Source organism: Homo sapiens, chromosome 18 (assembly GCF_000001405.40).
Source record: "Homo sapiens chromosome 18, GRCh38.p14 Primary Assembly".
NCBI lineage: Eukaryota > Metazoa > Chordata > Mammalia > Primates > Hominidae > Homo > Homo sapiens.
Window position 1 is genome coordinate 14,136,584 of NC_000018.10, and position 21,002 is coordinate 14,157,585.

The 21,002-nt window shown below is 50.0% G+C and overlaps 3 pseudogenes; 1 reads left to right on the forward strand and 2 right to left on the reverse strand.

The window, feature by feature from the left end:
* FRG2LP (FSHD region gene 2 family member L, pseudogene) lies at positions 1,127–2,689 on the forward strand (annotated as a pseudogene).
* On the reverse strand, positions 6,966–14,562 carry LOC100631380 (protein phosphatase 6, regulatory subunit 2 pseudogene 1; annotated as a pseudogene).
* NF1P5 (neurofibromin 1 pseudogene 5) lies at positions 16,214–20,761 on the reverse strand (annotated as a pseudogene).

The following is a 21,002-nucleotide window of genomic DNA, read 5'->3' on the forward strand; positions in this document are numbered from 1 at the left end:
GTGGCTCCCAGGATGAATGAGGGAGGGTGAGATAGAGCAGAAGTTTCCCTCTCCAGCTGGGCTTTCTGCTGCCTTAGGAATTGGAAGTTGATTGAGTTAGCACTGGCTCCAATCTGATCAATTCAACGTGATCATATCTGATCTAATTATCCTTCCAACATTCAAGGGATAAAGGAATATTCTATTTGGGGTTTACTTTTCTGCAGCCCTGTATATCTTAATGGCACACGCAGCCCAACTAGGCCTTCAAGATGCCACATCCCCTATCATAGAATTTTATTTTATCATATATATATATATTTAATACAATCAAGTATAATTTAATATTTGTCATTTCCAAGCATTTGAAAAATTATGGCCTATATATATACACACACAATTGTAATACTATAATGATTTTCTTCATGTGCAAAATATATATACAACTGTTAATATATGGTCTGTTTAATTTTGCATTTTGAATCTGGGCAGAGTTTTGAGTACTCCTGGGTGGGAACTGGGCCGGGAAACAAAAGGTGATGAGCCTCCTGCATTCTAGTCCCGGTGCCTCCTGGTTTTGTTATATCTTGTTTTTTGATGCTATGGCAGGACTCTGCAAAAGTCTCCCCTTATGTGTGTCTAAATCCCCAGCATAATCACATCCTGAAACATTCCTTATGGAGGCTATGAAGAGCGGCAGGCAAGAGAAATCAATCTCTTCAGCCAGTAAGAGTGAGCCATGCTTATAAACAGGGGCTTATGGCCGGACACGGTGGCTCACTCCTGTAATCCCAGCACTTTGGGAGGCTGAGGCAGGTGGATCATGAGGTCAGGAGATTGAGACCAGCCTGACCAACATGGTGAAACCCCGTCTCTACTAAAAATACAAAAATTAGCCAGGCCTAGTGGCACGCGCCTGTAATGCCAGCTACTCAGGAGGCTGAGGCAGGAGAATCTTACATTGAGCCAAGATCACGCCACTGCACTCCAGCCTGGGCGACAGAGTGAGACCCTGTCTCAAAAAAACAAAACAAAACAAAAACAAAAACGAAGCAAAGAGAGACTTAAAAAAGACAAGTCCAGCATAACATGCTACGCTCTGAATCTGGATGTGTAAGAGAGAGGACCTTTTGTTTGAGCTTCAACATGGAATGGGGAACTACAGACCAAAATTCTCACTGTGCCTCCATCCAAGACCTCACTGGCCAGCCCCCTTTCCAACATATCTCCTTTGCAGAAAGGGGCTCAGATGAGGAGGAGAAATGATTTGAAGAAAAAGGCAAGATGCTCTCTTTCCATTCCAGTGAGAGCTGCACTCAAAGCTCAAGTAAGACCTTGGGCTGTTCTTATGAAGGTTGCAAAGAGGGGTGGAATCAAGGATACTAAGCTGTATGTCTTTGATAGGAGTTTATTTTGTAATTGAGGACAGGAAATGGATTACAGCCCTCAGGTGGCTTTGAGAAATGTGGTGATGATCTCCTGGAACTGTATTCTTCCCACTCACTTTTGACGCTGGCTGAACAGCATCAGTTGAGAAAATGACCCACAAATATGAGTCAGAAATAGATTATGGGACTCTGGGTCTACAGAGAGGTGAATCACCCGAACTCCCTTTTCCACTAGGACCAGACCGCAATCCAAATGGGAAATAGAATTCCAAGAAAACTAAGCTCAAAACCAGAAACAGCAATGCTAGATCAAGTAAGACTTGACTCTCCCAAGGTGAGAAGGGACAGGATATAGATTAACACAGTCTCCCCTGGGAAAGAAACTGAGAGCGTTTTTGAATGCAGCACTTTACAGATCCTGGGCGCTGGAGCACAGAGGAGAGCTGAGTTTTTGTGGAAACCTCATCTCTAGTGTATCAAAAATGGACTAAGGCTTCCAAGGTGTTCAGTTGGAGGCACTCACACACACTCCATTTTTATCAACAGAATCAGAGTCCAGCTCAGATGAGCAGAAGAAATGAAGAAAAAAAATAATTTCAAGGACACCTGACAAGATAGAGCAGGTAGAGAGTCTTGCTTTTTTATCCTAACAGACAAGCAAGACAAGCAAGGCTTGGGTAAGAAGGGGTCTTCTTGGTGGTTGAAAGAATTTTAGAGATCCTGGCATTCAGAGAGCATCTGGGGACCCAGGAGCGAACTCAATCTCACTTTATTAGGCAGGCTGAGGGAGCTGGCAAGTGGGAGGTGACAAGTGGGGGTCACCTGAATGTGCATGGGAAGGTTCTGGAATGAGCTTCTGTGTGAACTATTGTGGTGAATCTTTAACTCACGTGCTTTCTCCACAGGAAAGAGTCTAGGATATGAGCACAGCTTGACTTTGAAAAAGAAAGCAAAGGACTCTGAGGATGGACACAGTAGCAAATTAAGAAGACCAGTGATGCCCACCATAAGAGACCCTCAAGGGGTGCCACTGGGCACAGCAAGCAGCCCAGATCTTGGTTACCGAGAGACCAACCACCACCACTTCAAAAGACTGGTGACTCCCTGCATGCTATTTCTGAGGGCGTTATCAAGACCCAGTCCAGGTATGGGCAGAGGTGCATTCTCACCTGATGTGGAAGTAGCTTTCTTCCCAGATTCAGGGGCTTCTGGGCACTGTGCTGGAGGCATTCTACACCATGACTACCCAGGTAGCCTGTGTCTTCCCTGATGATGAATGGCTCATCCCAGTCACACTGCCTGGTCCCAGGGAGACATCCCTGTCTGGAGGAACTAAGAGCTCCTCCTAGGATGGAGATGGGTCTGCCTCTTCTCTAGTCAGGAGATAACTGAGTCAGTAAGTGAATAAGGTGAGGCTTGCGCTGGGGGCACCCAGACCTATTCAGCAGAGGATGCAGTTCTGGAAACAAGAACAGAGCTGCTACTTCTCAGATTCTTCCAAACGACCGGCAGTGACAATTTTAGAAACACTTTGTTAATAAATAAAAAAATTGGCCAGGTACAGTGGTTCATACCTGTAATCCTAACACTTTGGGAGGTCAAGTGGAAAGACTGCTTGAACTCAGGATTTGGAGACCAGCCTGAGCAATATAGTGAGACCCTGTCTCAAAAAAAAAAAATTATTTAGGTGGAGCATGATGACGTGTGCCTATAGTTTCAGCTACTCTGAAGGCAGAGGCAGGAGGATCACTTAAGCACAGAAAGTTCAGGCTACAGTGAGTTGAGGCTACAGTGAGTCATGATCACACCACTGCACTGCAGCCTTGATGGCAGAGTGAAACTGTCTCAAAACAAAAACAAAGACAAAAATAAATGACAGAACCTTGCGCTGTCCTGAAAAAGGAACTTGAACAATATACTCAGAATTGGGAAATCTGGGTTTCCTTGAGGGCTAAGATTACTACATATTTTATATTTTCTGTTAGATATTTGATGTATTTTGGATCTCTTATGACAGTCAGTTGCTAAATAATAATTATTTAGAAAGAACACCCATCAAGAAGCTCTGAATTTAAAAGTAAAAATAAAGTCCTAACTGAAAGACAGACAAGAACATCTTAACATGTGGCTTAGAAAAAGATAATCAGTTAAAATTCATTCATTTAACAAATATTTATGAAGCATTCACTACAAGGCGACACCATGCTAAATACTCATGAAAGGATAAAGATGTAAAAATGTGAGAGCCAACAGTCTAGAGGGGAGAGAAACTTGTAAAGTAAATCATCACAATTGTTACAATGGTGATGTGCAGCACAGAACAACGCGCATTTCTTTGTTCGTGGGTAGTGTATGTATGGGTAGTACCTGGTAACAGGCAAAGAAAGCTTCACAGAAATGGTGGTTTAAACTGCACTCTGGGCTGGGCATGATGGCTTACACTTGTAATCCCAGCACTTTTGGAGGCCAAGGTGGGCAGATCACCTGAGGTCAGGAGTTTGAGACCAGTCTGGCCAACATGCTGAAACACTGTCTCTACTAAAAATACAAAAAAAAAAAAAAAAATTAACTGGGTGTGGTGGTACACACCTGTAATCCCAGCTGCTCAGGAGGCTGAGGCAGGAGAATCCCATGAACCCAAGAGGTGGAGATTGCAGTGAGCCGAAACTGCGTCACTGCACTCAAGCCTGAATGGCAGAGTGAGACTGTCTTAAATTAAAAAAAAAAAAAATAGGCTGGGTGTGGTGAGTCTCACCTGTAATGCCGGCACTTTGGGAGGCCGAGGTGGGTGGATCACCTGAGGTCAGGAGTTCCAGACCAGCCTGGCCAACATGGTGAAACCCCATCTCTACTAAAGATACAAAAATGTCCTGGGATCACCACCTTTGGCCTCTCCCACTCCTGCCCTCTGTGGGGTGGCCCAGGTTGTGCCCAGCTAGGCAGCTCTGCTGCCCTGAGTTCTAAGTGCTGGGACAAGCTGTCTGTCCACTGATGACCTCAAACCTCCGTCCAGGCTGCGTTCAGATTCTGCTCATCATCAAGCACCTCATTCTCTGAGGGCCCCAGAGGATCCTGTGCCATGATCCCAACTTCAGCCTGACACTGGGCATAGTGTGGGGAAACCTCCCAAGGTACAGGAGGGGAGAGAGGATTCTGCTGGGCATCTAAGGGGCTTGCTCTGGAAGGGGTCAGGCACCCCAAGGCCCAGCCTGGCCATGAGCAGCAGATGGGCCCTCTGGCCTCCTGCAGGGCGAGGATATTGAGTGTCTGACCCAGGGAGGCGTGCTCTGATCAGGTGGGAGTGCAAGCAAGCTCACCTGCAGGCTGGGCTGTCACAGCGGAGCAGGGAGAGCTCTCAGTGGCAAGTTTTACACAGATAGCCCCGTGGAGAAAAGCAACTTACTTTGCACAGTGATATTCCCTGCTTTTCAGAGCAAAGTTTTTTAGGGGTTGTTTAGGAAAAGTGGGTAAAGGTTTGTTTTGGTTTGGTTTTTGCAGACAGAGTCTCGCTCTATTGCCCAGGCTGGAGTGCAGTGGTGCGATCTCTGCTCACTGCAACCTCTGGCTCCCAGGTTCAAGTAATTCTCCTGCCTCAGCCTCCTGAGTAGCTGGGACTACAGGCATGCGTCACCATGCCTGCCTAATTTTTTGTATTTTAGTAGATGTGGGGTTTTGCTATGTTGCCCAGGGTGGTCTCAAACTCCTGAGCTTGGGCAATCCGCCCACCTCGTCCTCCCAAAAGTGCTGGGATTACAGGTGTGAGCCACCACACCCAGCCGAGGGTAAAGATTTTTTTTTTTTTTGAAATGGAGTCTCACTGTGATGCCCAGGCCAGAGTCCAGTAGCATGATCTTGGCACACTGTGACCTCCACCTCCCAGGTTCAAGTGATTCTCCTGCCTCAGCCTCCCGAGTAGCTGGGACTACAGGCGTGTGCCACCACGCTTGGCTAATTTTTGTATTTTTAGTAGAGATGGGTTTTACCATATTGGCCAGGCTGGTCTCGAACTTCTGACCGCGTGATCCACCTACCTCGGCCTCCCAAAGTGCTGGGATTACAGGCATGAGCCACCATGCCTGGCTGGATAAAGATTTTTAAGAATTTCAGTGACTAAACTTTAAGAAGGAATGAAGCCCACGCAGGAACTCTGTATGACTTTCAACCCGAGGGGCTCTGGCCTGGGCTTTCCAGTGACTGGCAGCATCGGGACATCCACTGCTGTGGCCTTGGCCCCATTTCCCGTGTTGTGCCCCCCACTTGCTGCAGATGCCCTGACGGCAGCGTGGCCAAACAAGGGGAGGAGCTGTGAGCACAGACATGGCCTGCTGGTCAACAGGGCAGGGAGAGCCAGCCTGGCACTGAGCTTGCAGCCTGGTTGGGGGAGATACCCAGAGCGCCAATACCACACAGACCCTCCAGGACTGCTGGGGTCAGTGGGCAGGGTCCTCTGAGGTGTCAGACCTGCCCCACCTGTCGGGGGAGGGTAGGACAGGTGGGACGCTTGCAGGCTGAGCTGCATTGGGCGGCGAGGCTGGGGGCACCCTCACCCCACTCCAGGCAGGTCCTTCACAAGCATGGAAACAGGAGTGACTGGGATGCACCGCCAGGTGTGAAAGGCACCTTGTCCTCTCCTAGAGGAATCCAGCCCAAGGACTTCCCCACTGTTGCCTGGACCTACTGGGAGCTCAGGCCCCAGGGCCTCTGCACAGCTTTGCCCTTGCCGGGTGTGCCCTCCTCCCCACTTCAAGCCCAGTCCTACCTTCCCCCTCAGGTTTACCTGGCCCTAGCATCTACCCCAGCTGTCCTGCCCTCCTGCTAAACTCCCAACCCCTGACCCCAAAGGCCAGAAGAGGTATCTGTTCACTGAAGGATGCCAGGGACCTTCTTCCTGTAGGGGGATGGATGGGATTCAGCTTGCTGGAGGGGATGGCCATACTCCAGCCTCCTCACAGGGAGCGCCTCCCTCTCCACTCTCTCCCCAGGAATGGCTCTTGGAGGCTCAAGGGAGCCTGAGCCTCTGCCCATCTGTAAGCTGCCTCCAACTCTCAGTCAGGGTTTGGATGCCCCAAGTGCAGTCCTGAGGCCCCCGCCCCCCCCATCCTACTGTCCTGGCTTCTGAGGCATCTGCAAATCATAGGCCTCCCATGGAAGGGGAGCAGCAGGCGAGGTCTGCATGAGCCTCACAGATGCCTGCTCACCTGCTGGACTTAAAGTCTGTGCCCCTCCCCGACCACCAGGGTACCCAGATCCCAGGTGGCTCAGCCAGGCCCAGAGCCCCAAGAGCTGGGCTGTTCTCTCTAACTGGGATCTGGGGTAGGGGCTGCCCCCACCAAGTCCCTGGGGGACTGTCTGGGACATCCAGGCCCTGTCTTCTTGTCTTAACCACTCACAACAGAGAACACAGATGTTCTGTCCAAGAAGGAAGCCCCCACACTCCTCCCATCCTGCCTCTATTTAAATGCGTGGGCATGACCACCCCGAGCCAGCCTGTAAGGGGTCACGGGGCCATCGGGGAAGCAGTGTGGAGAAGACCCCTGGCCTGGCCTCAACCTGCTCGCAAGGGAGCTAAGAGCTGGGGACAGAGCCTGGAAGCCGCAGCCTTTGCACCCAGGCAGGCCTGCCCACCTACCCCCCACGCCCCACACACCTGCTGACAGCCTCCTCTGTCCTGGCCACTGTGGGCAGCGGGAGCGGGGGGCCTCCCGGCCCGGACCCGTGTTCACAGCATCCATGGCACTCACTGCCTTCTGGTCGTCATGTATCGCTGTCGGAGCCCCCACAGGAGCTGCTGTCAGAGGCCAGCAGGGGGGCCTTCCTGGTGACACACACGGAGGTACACGGAGGTACATGGAGAAGCTGGGCTGACTGCAGAGTAGGAGGCCTGTGCTGTCCAGTGAGGCAGGAGGGGCCACAGGGTGTGGCAACCCCGGCCATAGGGATCCCTTACGTGTAGCCCTCTCACATGCAGCCTGTTGCCTGCACACGTGTACCTGTGTGGAAACAGCATGACGAGGCTAACAGGCTCACACACCTTCCATGTGGTCTCCATACAAGCAACACTGTTGCCTCCCCCATGATACAGGGCAATGTGCTCTGGTCTCACATGAGGACGCAGAGGCTCAGGAAGGGGCCCGCTCTGCCTTGTGTGGTCCCGCCACAGCTCCTTCAAGCACCGGGGACACCCGTGTTGGAAGCCAGCTGTCGCTCGCCTGGAGCTCTCAGCCTTGTCTGAGGCAGCCTCTCGGCCTGACTAGGGGCCTGGGGGCCAGGGGCTCTGATCAGGCCCCAGAATGGCTTCCTGCCAACAACCCACCCACACACATCTCAATGCTGGGGTCCTGGTGCTGCTGTCTAGAACCAAGGGTGCAGACCTGGGCTGTGCCACCTGCTCAGACGGGGCTCAGGGCCAGCCCAATGGCCTTGCTGCCTCCCCTCTGGGGGCTGGGGGCCTCCCCATCTGCACGTGGCTGCTCCAGTCCCACTGCTGTATCAAACCTCAATGTTACCAGAGACCTAGCAGCATGCGGGGTCCTGGCCACCTTCTCCCACTGACCCCAAGGAGGGGGGCCAGCTGGCCTCAGGCCTTACACTGGGCAAGGCTAGGCCTCTGCAGGAGGCTGGGTGCTGCCTGCACTGCTGCTACTCACAGGCTTTCTCGAAGCCTTGGCTCTGGCTGCCTCAGCCTGGCTGTGTTCTGTGTCCATCAGAGAGCTGCACCTGGGCCCTGATTCAGAGCTACAGACAAGGACGAGGACAGGGTCAGTCCCGGGGGACGGGCACCTCCTGACCCTGACAGGCACTTCCTGACACGGCCCCTTCCTGCCAATACATTTGTTACCAGCAGAAAGGCTGGAATTCGGTGAACTGGCCCAGGCTTTCTCCTCTGGAGCTGAGGTGCCAGCTGCCCACACGCTGGAACCCATGTCCCTCACCCCTCCTGGGGCTATGGGCGTCGAGTTCGCTGGCTCATCAAACACTGTCATCCACATGGCATCTGCTGGGTGAGAGACACAGTGGTCAGGTGTGGGCAGGCCTGTCTGGGGTGCTGCAGGCAAAGGGGAGGCAGCGTACCCCCCCCACCGGGGGCCCCACAGAGGTTGACAGGAACATGGGGCTGCTCCAGGAGGGAGGCCCAGGCAGTGCCCCTCAGCCCCTCAGAGAATAACAGGGGACAGCTCGAGGGTCCTGACAAGCTGCCAACATCCATGGGGCATGTGAACCAGGGCTCAGCCAGGCGCCTGAGGGCCCCCAGGCCTCCAGCAGGGCTGACACTGACAGTGTGGAGGTGATGCCACTACCCTCCATGATCCGGGGCTCAGTCAGGCACCTGAGGGCCCCTAGGCCTCTGGCAGGGCTGACGCTGATAGTGTGGAGGCAATGCCACTGCCCTCCATGACCTGAGGCTCAGTAAGGTGCCTGAGGGCCTCTAGGCCTCCAGCATGGCTGACGCTGACAGTGTGGAGGTGATGCCACTGCCCTGTCCTATCCAGGACCGCATCCAACAGAGACGGCAGCTCACCAAGCACCACTGGGCCCTCCCTGGCCTCAAGGATGAGCCGCCTTCCTCCTATCTGGGACGTTCCTGCTTCCCCAGGGTGTTGCCCTTGCTCTCTCTTTTGGCCTCAGCTAAGAGCTCAGCACCTCCTAACAGAGATCCCTGCCCCCTCCCCAAAATCCTGAGTGGGTCAGTGCTGCCCCCAGGGCAGGGGTAAGGAGAGGGGTCTTATCAGCCACGCAGCCTGCAGGGTGGACTGGCTCCTGTCCTAGATGTCAGCCGTGAGGGTGGAGGCCAGCCTGTGCTGCTGCGCTGGGGTGGGCATCAGGCCTGTGCCGCATTGTATGGGGGCCGGGTGGACGATGCGGACTAGGTGGACACCACCCATCAACCTTGGTGACAGTGGCGGAGTGACAACAACCGAGAGGCAGGGGCAGGAGACCACCCTGTGCCGGGCACAGGGCAGCACAGACCCCTACTCAGGATGGCTGGGAAAGAGCTGGAGATGCAGGTTTCGGGCCACTGTGAGCCCCAAATGCCTCAGCTCCAAATGAAGCCTCCACACCCCTAGGCCAGGGTACCATGTCCTGTCCCCAACACACACGTCCCCGGCCCCACAGCACCACCTTCTGAGTCACCCTCCAGAGGAGGGGCTTTGTTCTTTCCAGGGTCTGGGGGGCACCTGCCCCAGGCGCATCACCGTCTGCTTCCAAGCTCGCCTTCCCATCCTGGCCTCCGCACTCCGGGCCATTCTTTGAGCAGCTCTCTGAAGCATGGGGGGCTCCAAACCTCGGGGAGATGCAGAGTCAGATGCCTGGTGGCCCAGGACAGATGCCTAACACTGAGGGTCAGTGACAGCACCAGGCTCCAGGCTGAGGGTGAGCACAGAATGCCCTGAGTGAGGAGCACAAGTCACTCCAGGCCTCAGCTCCGGGCTCCTGAGTGTCACCCGCTGCGTTGGGCGCCAGTGCTTGCAGGACGGGTTTCCTTTTCTGCGAGCCGGCATAACAAACAGCAGGGCGTCTGGGCATCTGACGGGTGTTCTGGGGGCTGCACCTCCTCGGCAGAGGCTTTGGGGGGATGGGCAGGCCCCGCACCTGGCTCTGGCCTTCACCTGGGCAGCACCGCGAGTGTCGCTGTCCTCCGAGATGTCCTCGTCTTCATCAAAGTGCTGGATGCGGTCGCTGCAGCAGGCCTCAGAGCTGCGCTGGGCTGCAGAGTAAAACGCCAAGGTCAGTTTCCAGACGGTCTGGGGGAGAAGGCGCTCTCCCCACAGGGCTCCCAGAGGGGCTTAGTTCAGGATGTGGGCGCCATGGGCTGGAGGGCATGATGGGAAGGGTCAAGAAAAGCGACTGTCCCTAGCTCCACAGAGGGGCCTCTCCCAGCCCCACCGCACAGGCCCACGACAGACCGAGCCATGGGCGCGGCCTGAGCTGCCTGGGAAAAGGGTGCCTGCATGACCCCGCACAGCCCCGCTCGCTCACACTGTCCTCCTCAGTGTCGATGTTGAAGTTGATCTCCGCGATCCTGTCAAATGGGGCGCTGCAAGAGCAAGGGGGATGGCCTCGGCGCTCCCCGCCCGGCCCACTGCTCATCTGGGGGCCTCGGTGCTCCTCCCCCACTGCTCATCTGGGGCCTCGGCGCTCCTCCCCCGGGGCTCATCTGGGGCCTCAGCTCTCCTCCTCTGGTGCTCATCTGGGGCCTCAACGCTCCTCCCCCGCTGCTCATCTGGGGCCTCAGTGCTCCTCCCCTGCTGCTCATCTGGGGCCTCAGGACTCCTCCCCGGTGCTCATCTGAGGCCTCAGTGCTCCTCCCCTGGTGCTCACTGGGGGCCTCAGCACCCTCACGCAACTGGAAACACCTGTTATCTCCCGGCAAGGCCTAAGGGAGCTGCCCCCATGGGACTTCAGCAGCGAGGAGGGGGAGTCGCGCCTCGTGCAGGGGGCATCCAAGTGGACTCACTTGATGTTGTCATGGTCTGCAAACTCCTCATCATTGAAGCCAAACTGATCCACAAAGTTGGCCGTCATCTGCTGGATCTGGTAGTCAGAGAAGTCCTGGGAGGGAAGGAGGGAAGGAGGAACGGAAGGAGGGAGGCAGGGACTGACGCCGGTCATAGAGCAGTCCTCAGGCCTACCGGCTGCTCTTTGGGAACCACAGTCTCTCTAGTTGTTCAGGAGCTTCTCCTCCAGCAAAAGTGGGCAGTAAACTCTGACTGTTCAGGGCTCACGATTCTACCAAAACTCAGGCCGCGTGCTCACTGTGCTCACATCCGAGATACGTCCCATATTCTTTGACTTTCGAGTTTATCTGCTGTGTCCTCAGTGCTCTCATCAAGGTGGAGTGACTTTGGAGTTCTCCCCTCAGACCCACCCCACCCCATACGTGCTCGGAGATGAGCCCCCTCTCCCTTTTGCTAGTGAGATGCCATCAGAGACTTGTCTGGAGGACCAAGTGCAGAGCACACAGGTGCCAGGAAGGGCCCGGCAGGGTGCAGGGGCCGGCCACGCCCTCACCTGCTGAAGGGACAGCTCATTAGGGAAAGCACCCTCAATGTCCTCACTCGAGGAGTGAAGATAGTGAGTACTTGCCTAAAACACAGGCCAGATGGGGTGGGTGTGTGAGCCAGCCCAGCGCCCCAGATCCTGCCCAGCCCAGGGCTCCCAGACCCCACCCAGCATGTCACTCACCAGATCTCTGGGCCCAGGAGGCCTTGCTGTGTAAGGAGGTGCCCAGGTGAGGCCAAGGTCCTGTGACAGCCCAACATCCATGTGCAGGGGGCAGGTTGGTCTCAGGCATATGGAGCCCTCTGCCAACAAGCTACAGCTCCTGGACTGGGAGGGAAGGGACCTGGGGCCAACACCGGCTCTGCACAGAGGTCCTCAGAGACCAGCCCTGGGTGTGGCACAGGACAGGGTCTGTGTTTCAGGCATCAGCCTGGAGGACAGACTGCACACTTGCAGGGTATGCTCGGGCACCCGTGTCCAAGAGGAGCAGGCAGGTGTGCGGCCCTTGTGCCTCTCTTGGCCTCTGCTTCGGGGCAAAGACAGGAGCGTCTGACAGCGTCCCAGCACCGTGCATGCACCAAGGGGGCAGCCCCGAGCCTCCTGCGTCCCAGCACCATGCGGGTGCCGAGGGTCAGCCCCGAGCCTCCTCAACAAGTCCACAGTGTTCCTGCAGTTGGTCTCCGTCAGCGTCTCCTCCACGAAGCTCTCCTAGCAGCCATGGCAATCCACAGGGAGCCCTGCAAGGAAAGTGCTGCCTGGTGAGCCCTGGGAGACCCCGTGCAGGTGGCTCAGGGCACTCAGGCGCTCCGGCAGGTGCATCCTGGGTCCAGAAGGATGGGGCGGTGCTACTGTGGTCAGTCCATCTGAGGGCCTGAAGCAGGAGCTTTGCTGGATGGGAAGGAGGCAGCATAGTCGCGTGTCCGGAGGGGCCAGGGGCCACAGTGAGATTGAGGTGCAGCAACTCTGGGCAGGGTGGGGGGCACTTCTGCCCCTACCGAGACCTCAGTGGGCAACCGAGTTCCAAGTCTGTTGGTGTGGAAGCCCATTCTGAGGAACTCCCAGAAACGCAGAAGCTGTGGAACAGAATCTGAGAAAGCAGCAAGCTTCCTTCACCCTGCCTCACAGGCCCAAATTCAGCAGCAGCCTACAGGCCTGGGTGTGTGTCCTGTCTGTTTTTCTGGGGAGGTCAGAACCCTGGAAGGATTCACAATCTGGAGACTGTATGGGATGATCCAAGAGCTTCCTGCTTGCCCCTCGCCTACCTAAACCACCCCTGCCCTGGGGAGCCCTCCCTGGCCTCCACCTCCACCCATCTCTTTTGCCCTCCTCTTGCCCTGCTCTTATTATTTGTGACAGTGGCCGGCAGGCCTGACCTTGCTAGGGGCTAATGGGGCCCAACCCAGGAGACCCCTCACCCTATGGTCCTGGGGTGCAGGGAGGACCATCCAGAGCTTCCTCACCTTGTACCGGTATAGGGAGGAGGGGCCATGGCTGGGCCCGCCTCTGCCACACATGTGGTGTGCCTGTGTCCACCTAATCCACTGTGCTCTTAAGAAACAGGGTGCTACCTGTTCCCCTGAGACTTGTGCTATGAAGTCTCACACCTGAGTGAGAATGTGAGACTCTCCAACCACCTGAATGCAGAGCAAAGCTGGCACACGGCCAGGACTGCCTGCACCCAGGCAGGACTCCATGAGCTGCAAGGAGCCTGGCAGCGCTAATGGCTTCGGAGCACCAGCTCCAGAGTCACCAACTGCCCCCAGCAGGGACTGTCTCTTGTGCCACATGCTGACGCCTGGTAAGGTCTCCACAGAAGTCTGCCCAACAGAACTGACACATGAGACCCAGGTCCCCCTGAGGATAGATCTGATGTGGGAAGTGAGAGGACAGAGACGGCTGCGGGGTCTTTCACTGTCAGTGCAATCAGCACCTGCTGACGGGCAGAGGGGAGCCTCGGGCAGCAGCTCCTTCAGAGCCCCGGTGCCCGCGACCAGCAAAAGGATGACCGGGTGGGGGGCTCACCTCAGATGACCTCGCTGATGTGCGTCTGCACAGAGCCCCACTCCAGGTTCTGCACCAGTACGTTGGCGATCTGCGTGAGGTGGCCTATGTTCCCACGCCTCATGCCACCCATCGCCCTAAAAGCCACAAGCACCATCAGGGTGGCCGCCTGGCCCCAACCTTGCCAGACCCATGACCCGGTGAGCCAAGTGGCACAGGCCTCCAGGTTCACCTCCAGAGCAAGTGCCCGGCCCTTGCCCAGAGCCCGTGCCCCCGGCCCTGCCTCCAAGACACTTCTGTTTGAGCAGCACCTGCCACGTGAAGCAGGCTCACCCCAACCTCACTACCAAAAGTGCCACTGAGACAGACATGGAGACAGACACTGCTCTCATCCCATTTTACAGACAGGGAAACGGAGGCAGAAAGGCCGTGGTGTGGCCTGAGCCCTGCTGGTGGCAGCAGTGGCGCAGGAGCTGAGCCCACGCTGTCAGCTACAAAGCTCAGGCTCAGCACCCTGCAGGGAGGGTCGGGTGGGACCTCCATGCTGTGCGGCCCAGCTCAGCCTCTGCTTCCCCACAGCTGCACTCAAACCCCTCCCAGCTCCAGTGAGTCCCTCCTCATATCGCCCAGAGCCAGACAGCTCCCAGCAGGACAATGAATGGGTGGGGATGGCTTTGGGTCCAGGACAATAGGCAGGACGTGTGTCCTGACCGGAGGGAGCACCCATTAAGCAGAAGACACGGAAAGACCAAAATAACGTGTCCCCATGTGCGAGTGCTGATGGAGCACCCGAGTTCTTGGGGAAGATCAGGAATGGACAGGGGACCCGCAAGAGGGCAAAGTCTAGGCAAGCCAGGCTGGGCAGGGGCCAGAGCAGGTGCCTGGTGGGGATGGGACTGCTTCCTGTCAGCTCCCTGTGCCCCCTCCCCAAGTAGCATTTGCAGCTGTCCACCCAGTAGGAGGGCCCCTTGCATGGCAGCCTGAGTGTGGAGCTGTGTCGCACACCCAGCGCTCCACCAGAGCATGCAGTCCTGCACGCAGCATCACCAGTGCCCGGCTGAGGTGCGTCTCTGCATCCCTGACTGGCCAGGCTGGGTCCCTCCGTGTCCGAGTGGCTCTTACTGTGTGTGGTCGTTGGCTTCCCAGGCCTCCAGGATCCTCTGCCCCAGGCAGCACTTCTGAAACAACTGGGGGTGGCAGGGGCGGTAGCGTGAGTCAGAGTCTGACTTGGCGCACTGCAACCTCTGCCTCCCAGGTTCAAGCGATTCTCCTGCCTCAGCCTCCTGAGTAGCTGGGATTACAGGCGCCCGCCACCATGCCCAGTTAATTTTTGTATTTTTAGTAGAGACGGGGTCTTGCCATGTTGGTCACGCTAGTCTTGAACTTCCGACCTCAGGTGATTTGTCCACCTCAGCCTCCCAAAGTGCTGGGATTACAGGCATGAGCCACCATGCCTTGCCTCTTTCGTCCTTAAGTTGGAAGCTTAACTCATTAATTTGTAGCCTTTCTTCTTTTCCAGTCTGTCTTTAAAAGGCTACATTTCCCTGTATACAATGAACTTTAACTACATTCTACACATTTTGCTATGTAGTATTTTTATTATTCTTCAGTTCTAAGTATTTGAAAAGTTCCTTTATAATTTTGTCTTCCTCATGAGTTATTAGAAGTGTTTTAGACTCTCAAGCACGTGAGGATTCCACACAGGATGGGCAGGCATGTGCACATCGTCCACCACACAAACATGAGACTGTGAGGTGCATGTTCAGAGATTCCCCAAGGGAGCCCGGACCTAAGCAGCATGGGCTGAAGCCCAGAGGAGGTTCTGGCCACCTAGGCACTCCCCTGGGGGACAGAGGTAGCTGAATGAGGACAGCGGGTCTGCAAGCTACCATCCATAGGCCAAATCCAGCCTATCACTTGCTACTGTAAATATAAAGTCTTAGTTAAACACAGCCACGCCCGTTCATTCACATATTGTCTGTGGCCACTTTCATGCTTCAGAGGCAGAACTGAATGGTTATGACAGAAACTGTATGACCCGCAAAGCCTAAGATATTTACTCTCTGGCCTTAAGAGAAAAGTTTCCTGATCCCTACTCTAGAGCTGCAGTGTCTAACATGGTAGCCACTGGGCAGCCACACATGGCTATCGAGGACTTTAAGTGTGGCTTGTTCAAATTGAGATGTGCTGCAAGTATAAAAGACACACCAAAATTCGAAGACTTTATTTAAAAAAGACAATGAAATATGTCATTAATAACTTTTACATTGATTACATGTTGAAATTATATTACAGATAATATACACTGGGTTAAATAAAATATTAATACAATTAACTTTACCTGCTTCTTTTTACTCTTTAAGGTAGGAAACTTTAACATATGGGGTTCTAATTATATTACTATTGGAGAGCATTGCTCTAGAGTAAGGTTTAATTCAGCTGCCACGTAACTTAGCACACCCATTCCTATAAGATAATGGCAAACTTGAGGTTTACACATTTCCATTTTCCTCAGTGTGGTGACTTTATGCTCATGCAAATGTAATGACTTATATAATCTAGGAAGTAGACCACAACATTCTGTATATATTTTTGTCTTCTAAGCAGTTGTCCCTGATTAATTCATTCATCAAAAGCATTCGTATTACAGAAAGTTTGTGAAAGATCACACAGCTTAAAAAACTGAAAAAACAATATTTTTACAAAATTTTATCATTCTAGGCTTAAAACTGTGAAAATCTATTAAAATCACAGTAGTAACCACACTGAAATCTGAAAAAGGGAATATACCAAAGAACAGTACTTATGTTTGGGTGACAAAATTTAGCACTATTCTTAAAACTTATTTTCTAAATTGCTGTGACACTTTTTTTACAGTTAAAACAAGAAATTCTAATAATTTGAAGTCAGAAAAATACAAAATCATAAAACCTTTGGAAGTATAAGTTTTACAATATACTAAATACTATAGAGTTAATATTTCAAGACAAAAAATACAAAATAAAATTTAAAAGTTGAATTTAAAAAATAAAAGTACATATACCTAATCTCCCAAAATGTTTCTCCAGGAGCATCAGGATTCCACAAATCAATGCTATCTAACTGACGAAGAACCAGCAGAGCCTGAATTTTTTTTAAAAAGAGAAAGGCAAAGAGAAGACTCACTCAAACATGTTTGGTAAACATAACGCTGGAGTATTTATTGTATAAATGCTAAGAAATTGAGCTATTTCATTTGTAGTTTCAATACATAGTAAAAGGTAAAAACAGATAAACTCTGGTGAACACAAACCTCTAGGGAATAATATAGACAGAATGATATCATTTTATTCCCATCATTCTTACTCTAACTGGCATAACCATATAAACCTAAATGATGAATTCAGAACAATATACAACTGTAAAAATTCCTTTAAGAAACAAACAAAATAATTTCAACAGATATTAAAGAACTCTGTGAAACAAAAAGTTAATCCCCAAGTAAGAAGGGCTTGCCAAAATTAATACACACAGCAAAAGATAAGTAAAAATCGTCTCACTTGCCACAAAGTCTCTCGTAACAGAAAAGAGCAACTATTTTTCAAAATCAAGAGAGAGGAAGCAAAATGGATTTTGTATTTCATAACAGATTATCCATTCTAAAGTATTTCAATGGACCATAGAACTGAAATTGGAATTTGGTTCAGAGAACATTAACAGGAATTAAATAATTCACTTACAATATATAACATATAGATTATTACATAAATTAAAACCATCAAAGATATAAAGAATAAAACGTAAACTCTTTCTTCAAACTTATCCTATCTTAACTCCAATTCTACAATCCCAACTCACATTCCTCCCACCCCCCCTCCACCCCCAACCCAGCAGACACTGTGAAGCTCTGGACATTCCTTTCAGTCCTTGGTCAACTTATCAACGTATAAAGGCCAGACCCATATCATCTCATTTCAAACATTGTTATTGTAATTACTTTGAGATATTTAATGAAAATTGCAATTAATTGTGAGAATCTCAAAAAACTATTAATTTAAAGCTCTCCTATCAAAAAAAAACAACACAAATTAAAAATCAAATTTGCTACTATTGTACCAAAACTTGGTACAATTTACTGGCAGTAGCTTTTTCAAGTGACAAATTCTCTATATTTTTGTTTGATAAAACTTTAAAAATATATATTGAAAGAAAACGTATTAGCCTTTTCCCTGCTTTGATTTTTTCATGTTCCCTTTTTTTTGTATTTTCCACGTTTTAACAAAGCCATAAACACAGTATACTCACTTGACGTATCGTTTTTCCTTATTGCTATGTGATCTATATAGGTTTTTGTTGTTGTTGTTGTTGCTATTGTTTTTTGAGACAGACTCTTGCTCTGTCACCCAGGATAGAGTGCAGTGGCGCGATCTCGGCTCACTGCAACTTCCGCCTCCCGGGTTCACGCCATTCTCCTGCCTCAGCCTCCGGAGTAGCTGGGACTACAGGCGCCCGCCACCGCGCCCGGCTAATTTTTTGTATTTTTAGTAGAGACGGGGTTTCACCATGTTAGCCAGGATGGTCTTGATCTCCTGACCTCATGATTAGCCCGCCTTGGCCTCCCAAAGTACTGGGATTACAGGCATGAGCCACCATGCCCCGCAGATCTATATAGGTTTTTTTTTTTTTTTTTTCTTTGAGACGTGGCTTCGTTCTGTGGCCCAGGCTGGAGTGCAGTGATGTGATCTCGGGGCACTGCATCCTCCGCCTCCCAGGTTTAAGCAATTCTCTGCCTCAGCCTCCCAAGTAGCTGGGATTACAGGGGTCCACCGCCACACCCAGCTAAATTTTTTTTTTGTATTTTTAGTAGAGACAGGTTTCACCATCTTGGCCAGGCTGATCTTGAACTTCTGACCTTATGATCCACCACCTCAGCCTCCCAAAGTGCTGGGATTACAGGCGAGACCCACTGCGCCCGGCCCTATATAGGTTTTAATGAATGTTTATCAGCTCACCAAGTTAAAATACCATTCTCATTATTGAATATTAACCCATTCTCCTCCTAGTAAAGTTCTAATATTCTCCTATTGTAATCAAGAGTAATAAGTACCTATGTGTGCAGCTTTTTCCTTTTGAGTTATATTCATAATATTTTTAAAGTCATAGAAATTGAATTATTTGTACAAAAAAAAATGAAATGTTTGTATAGCTCCTGCCAAATAGCGTTCCAAAAAGACTGCAAGAAATGTATCAGTTTATGGGACCAATAGCAATGTACACAAATATGGAAGCAATGACTAAGTAATAAGTGCTAAACCATTTCTTTTTTTTTTTTTGAGATGAAGTCACACTCTTGTCTCCCAGGCTGGAGTGCAATGGCGTTATATCAGCTCACTGCAACCTCCGCCTCCCAGGTTCAGGTAATTCTCCTGCCTCAGCCTCCCGAGTAGCTGGGATTACAGGCGCCTGCCACCGCACCCGGCTAATTTTTTGTATTTTTAGTAGAAATGGGGTTTCACCATCTTGGCCAGGCTTGAACTCCTGACCTCGTGATCTACCCACCTTGGCCTCCCAAAGTGCTGGGATTACAGGCATCAGCCACTGCGCCTGGCCAACACCTGAGAACTTTCAAAACTGGGTTGTTCATAATTAGAATTTTAAAAATCCACAGTCCAAATCTGATAAAGTTTTGCTCTCTATTTAATGTCACCATATCAGAGTTGAAGGTTTCCCAAGTACCTTTTAATGATTTCACTTATTTTGTTTGATATGCTTTTGTATCTTGTGAATACCTCTTTTAGAGTATGTTAATATTTTATTTTAAGAAAAATGAAATTTTACAATATGAATAAATTTAAGATCAAAAGGTTTTAAAGTACCATCAAATATAGTCCCATCATTTTGTCAGTGTGCTATACTGGACTACAACATAAATACTATTACTTTTAACTTAAATGGTAAGGTGGCAAGTCAACGAATCAAATGCTGTGAAAGGGCTAAGAGTATTCAAATAATATGTTTGAAAAGCTTTGGGATGAAAATTTTATATTATATTTTCAGTGCCATTTTTCTCTAGGGCTTTTGATCTGAATAAAATGCTTTAGATTTATCTTTCCAAAGCATCTTATTAACTCCATCTTCCTTAATATGGGCCCTTCGGTCAAGGCTTACTATGAAAAATACAAGTATTTATCAATTATCAAATATAATCACCATGGAGAAATTTTCCTATTCCGTACATCTAAATTCAGAACCTTTTTGAAAACCAAGAGTGCGTTTCGTAAAAAGAAATATGCAAAGAAAATAATGAAAATTTTTTTTTTTAGTAGTTTAGCAATGCCTATTGGACTTACATTGGTGATGATTTGATGGAGTGAATTTACCAGCACATAGTGAAATGTAGAATGTGAATTCTGCACCAGGAAGATCTATAGAAAAAGAAAAAAAAGCAGATTATTTCTATGAGAAAAATACTCAGTAATACAAATGAAGTCAAAAAGAACAGCAAATAGAAAGTTTTTTAAAAAACACTAAGTTTTTAAGGTCTTGAAATGAACATCAATACGTAATAGTGAGAAATGCCGATAGAGGTGAACCTGTTATCCCTCTAGTCTTTCCGTTTATAAAGGATAATGGCATCAGTAAACATAGTTAGATAAAAACCAATGCCCTCACCTTAAACTGTTGGTTGTTGTGAGGGCTTACACGAAGGCAAGAAACAAGGCAGTCAATCATAAGATCCACATCTGCAGGCTGACTGCCCCTTGAGACTGGCTTACTTGGATTAAAAAGCAGGTTCTATAAAAACCCCAACAGAAAACAAAAGCCTTTAAATACCCATGCAGTATTTCTTTACTAATATGTAATAACATCAACACATTATCCATATAGATGGCAGTAAAATTCAGTTGCCAGAAGCAGCACAAAGCACCAATACTGTGGTTCATCCGCCTGATACAATTCTTCCTGTACCATATATAGGTTCCTTTCAGGCCCTGATTGCCACATTATTTTAAACCCAAGTCGGTATATTTATGCTCATTTAAGAAAACAGTGTTTTCTTCATATTCTCAGTCCATTTAGACTGATGAACGCAGTAACAACAAAAGCAAGTCCTATGAACTTATCAAAGAAGAATCAGAACTTTAATGTTAGCAATTCTCTTTGACATAATACTTATGCTAGAAAATTAATTTAATTTTCTTAAACTTTGTAGTAGAGAAAGAATAAGCATATTACCTTAAGATCAACCACCATGGACTGAACAAGTAGGAAAATGACAGCGTTATCTTCCCAATTGATGTAAGTACTTGCTTTACACAGTTTGGCACAGGCAATTGCAGAACTTTTTGTCAGCTGCCTACTTCCTCCGTGGCCAGCAAGAGCTTTTCATAGACTGTCCGGAAACAACTTCTACAGAATTCAAATATAGCGATAAGATAATTTATGAAGTTTCTTCTATTCCAGATTTACCTAATATGATAGCAAATTAACAACCTCTAAAACTCATACTATAAAGAGTGCATAATTTATATTTCTGGTTTTCAATTTCATAATTTAAGTAGTGGTCATCATTTAAATGTTTCTCAAATTAAAAAAAAATCTTTTTTCTATTTTCTTTATTGAATTTTTAAGGGTATATCAAAAACAGTCCTT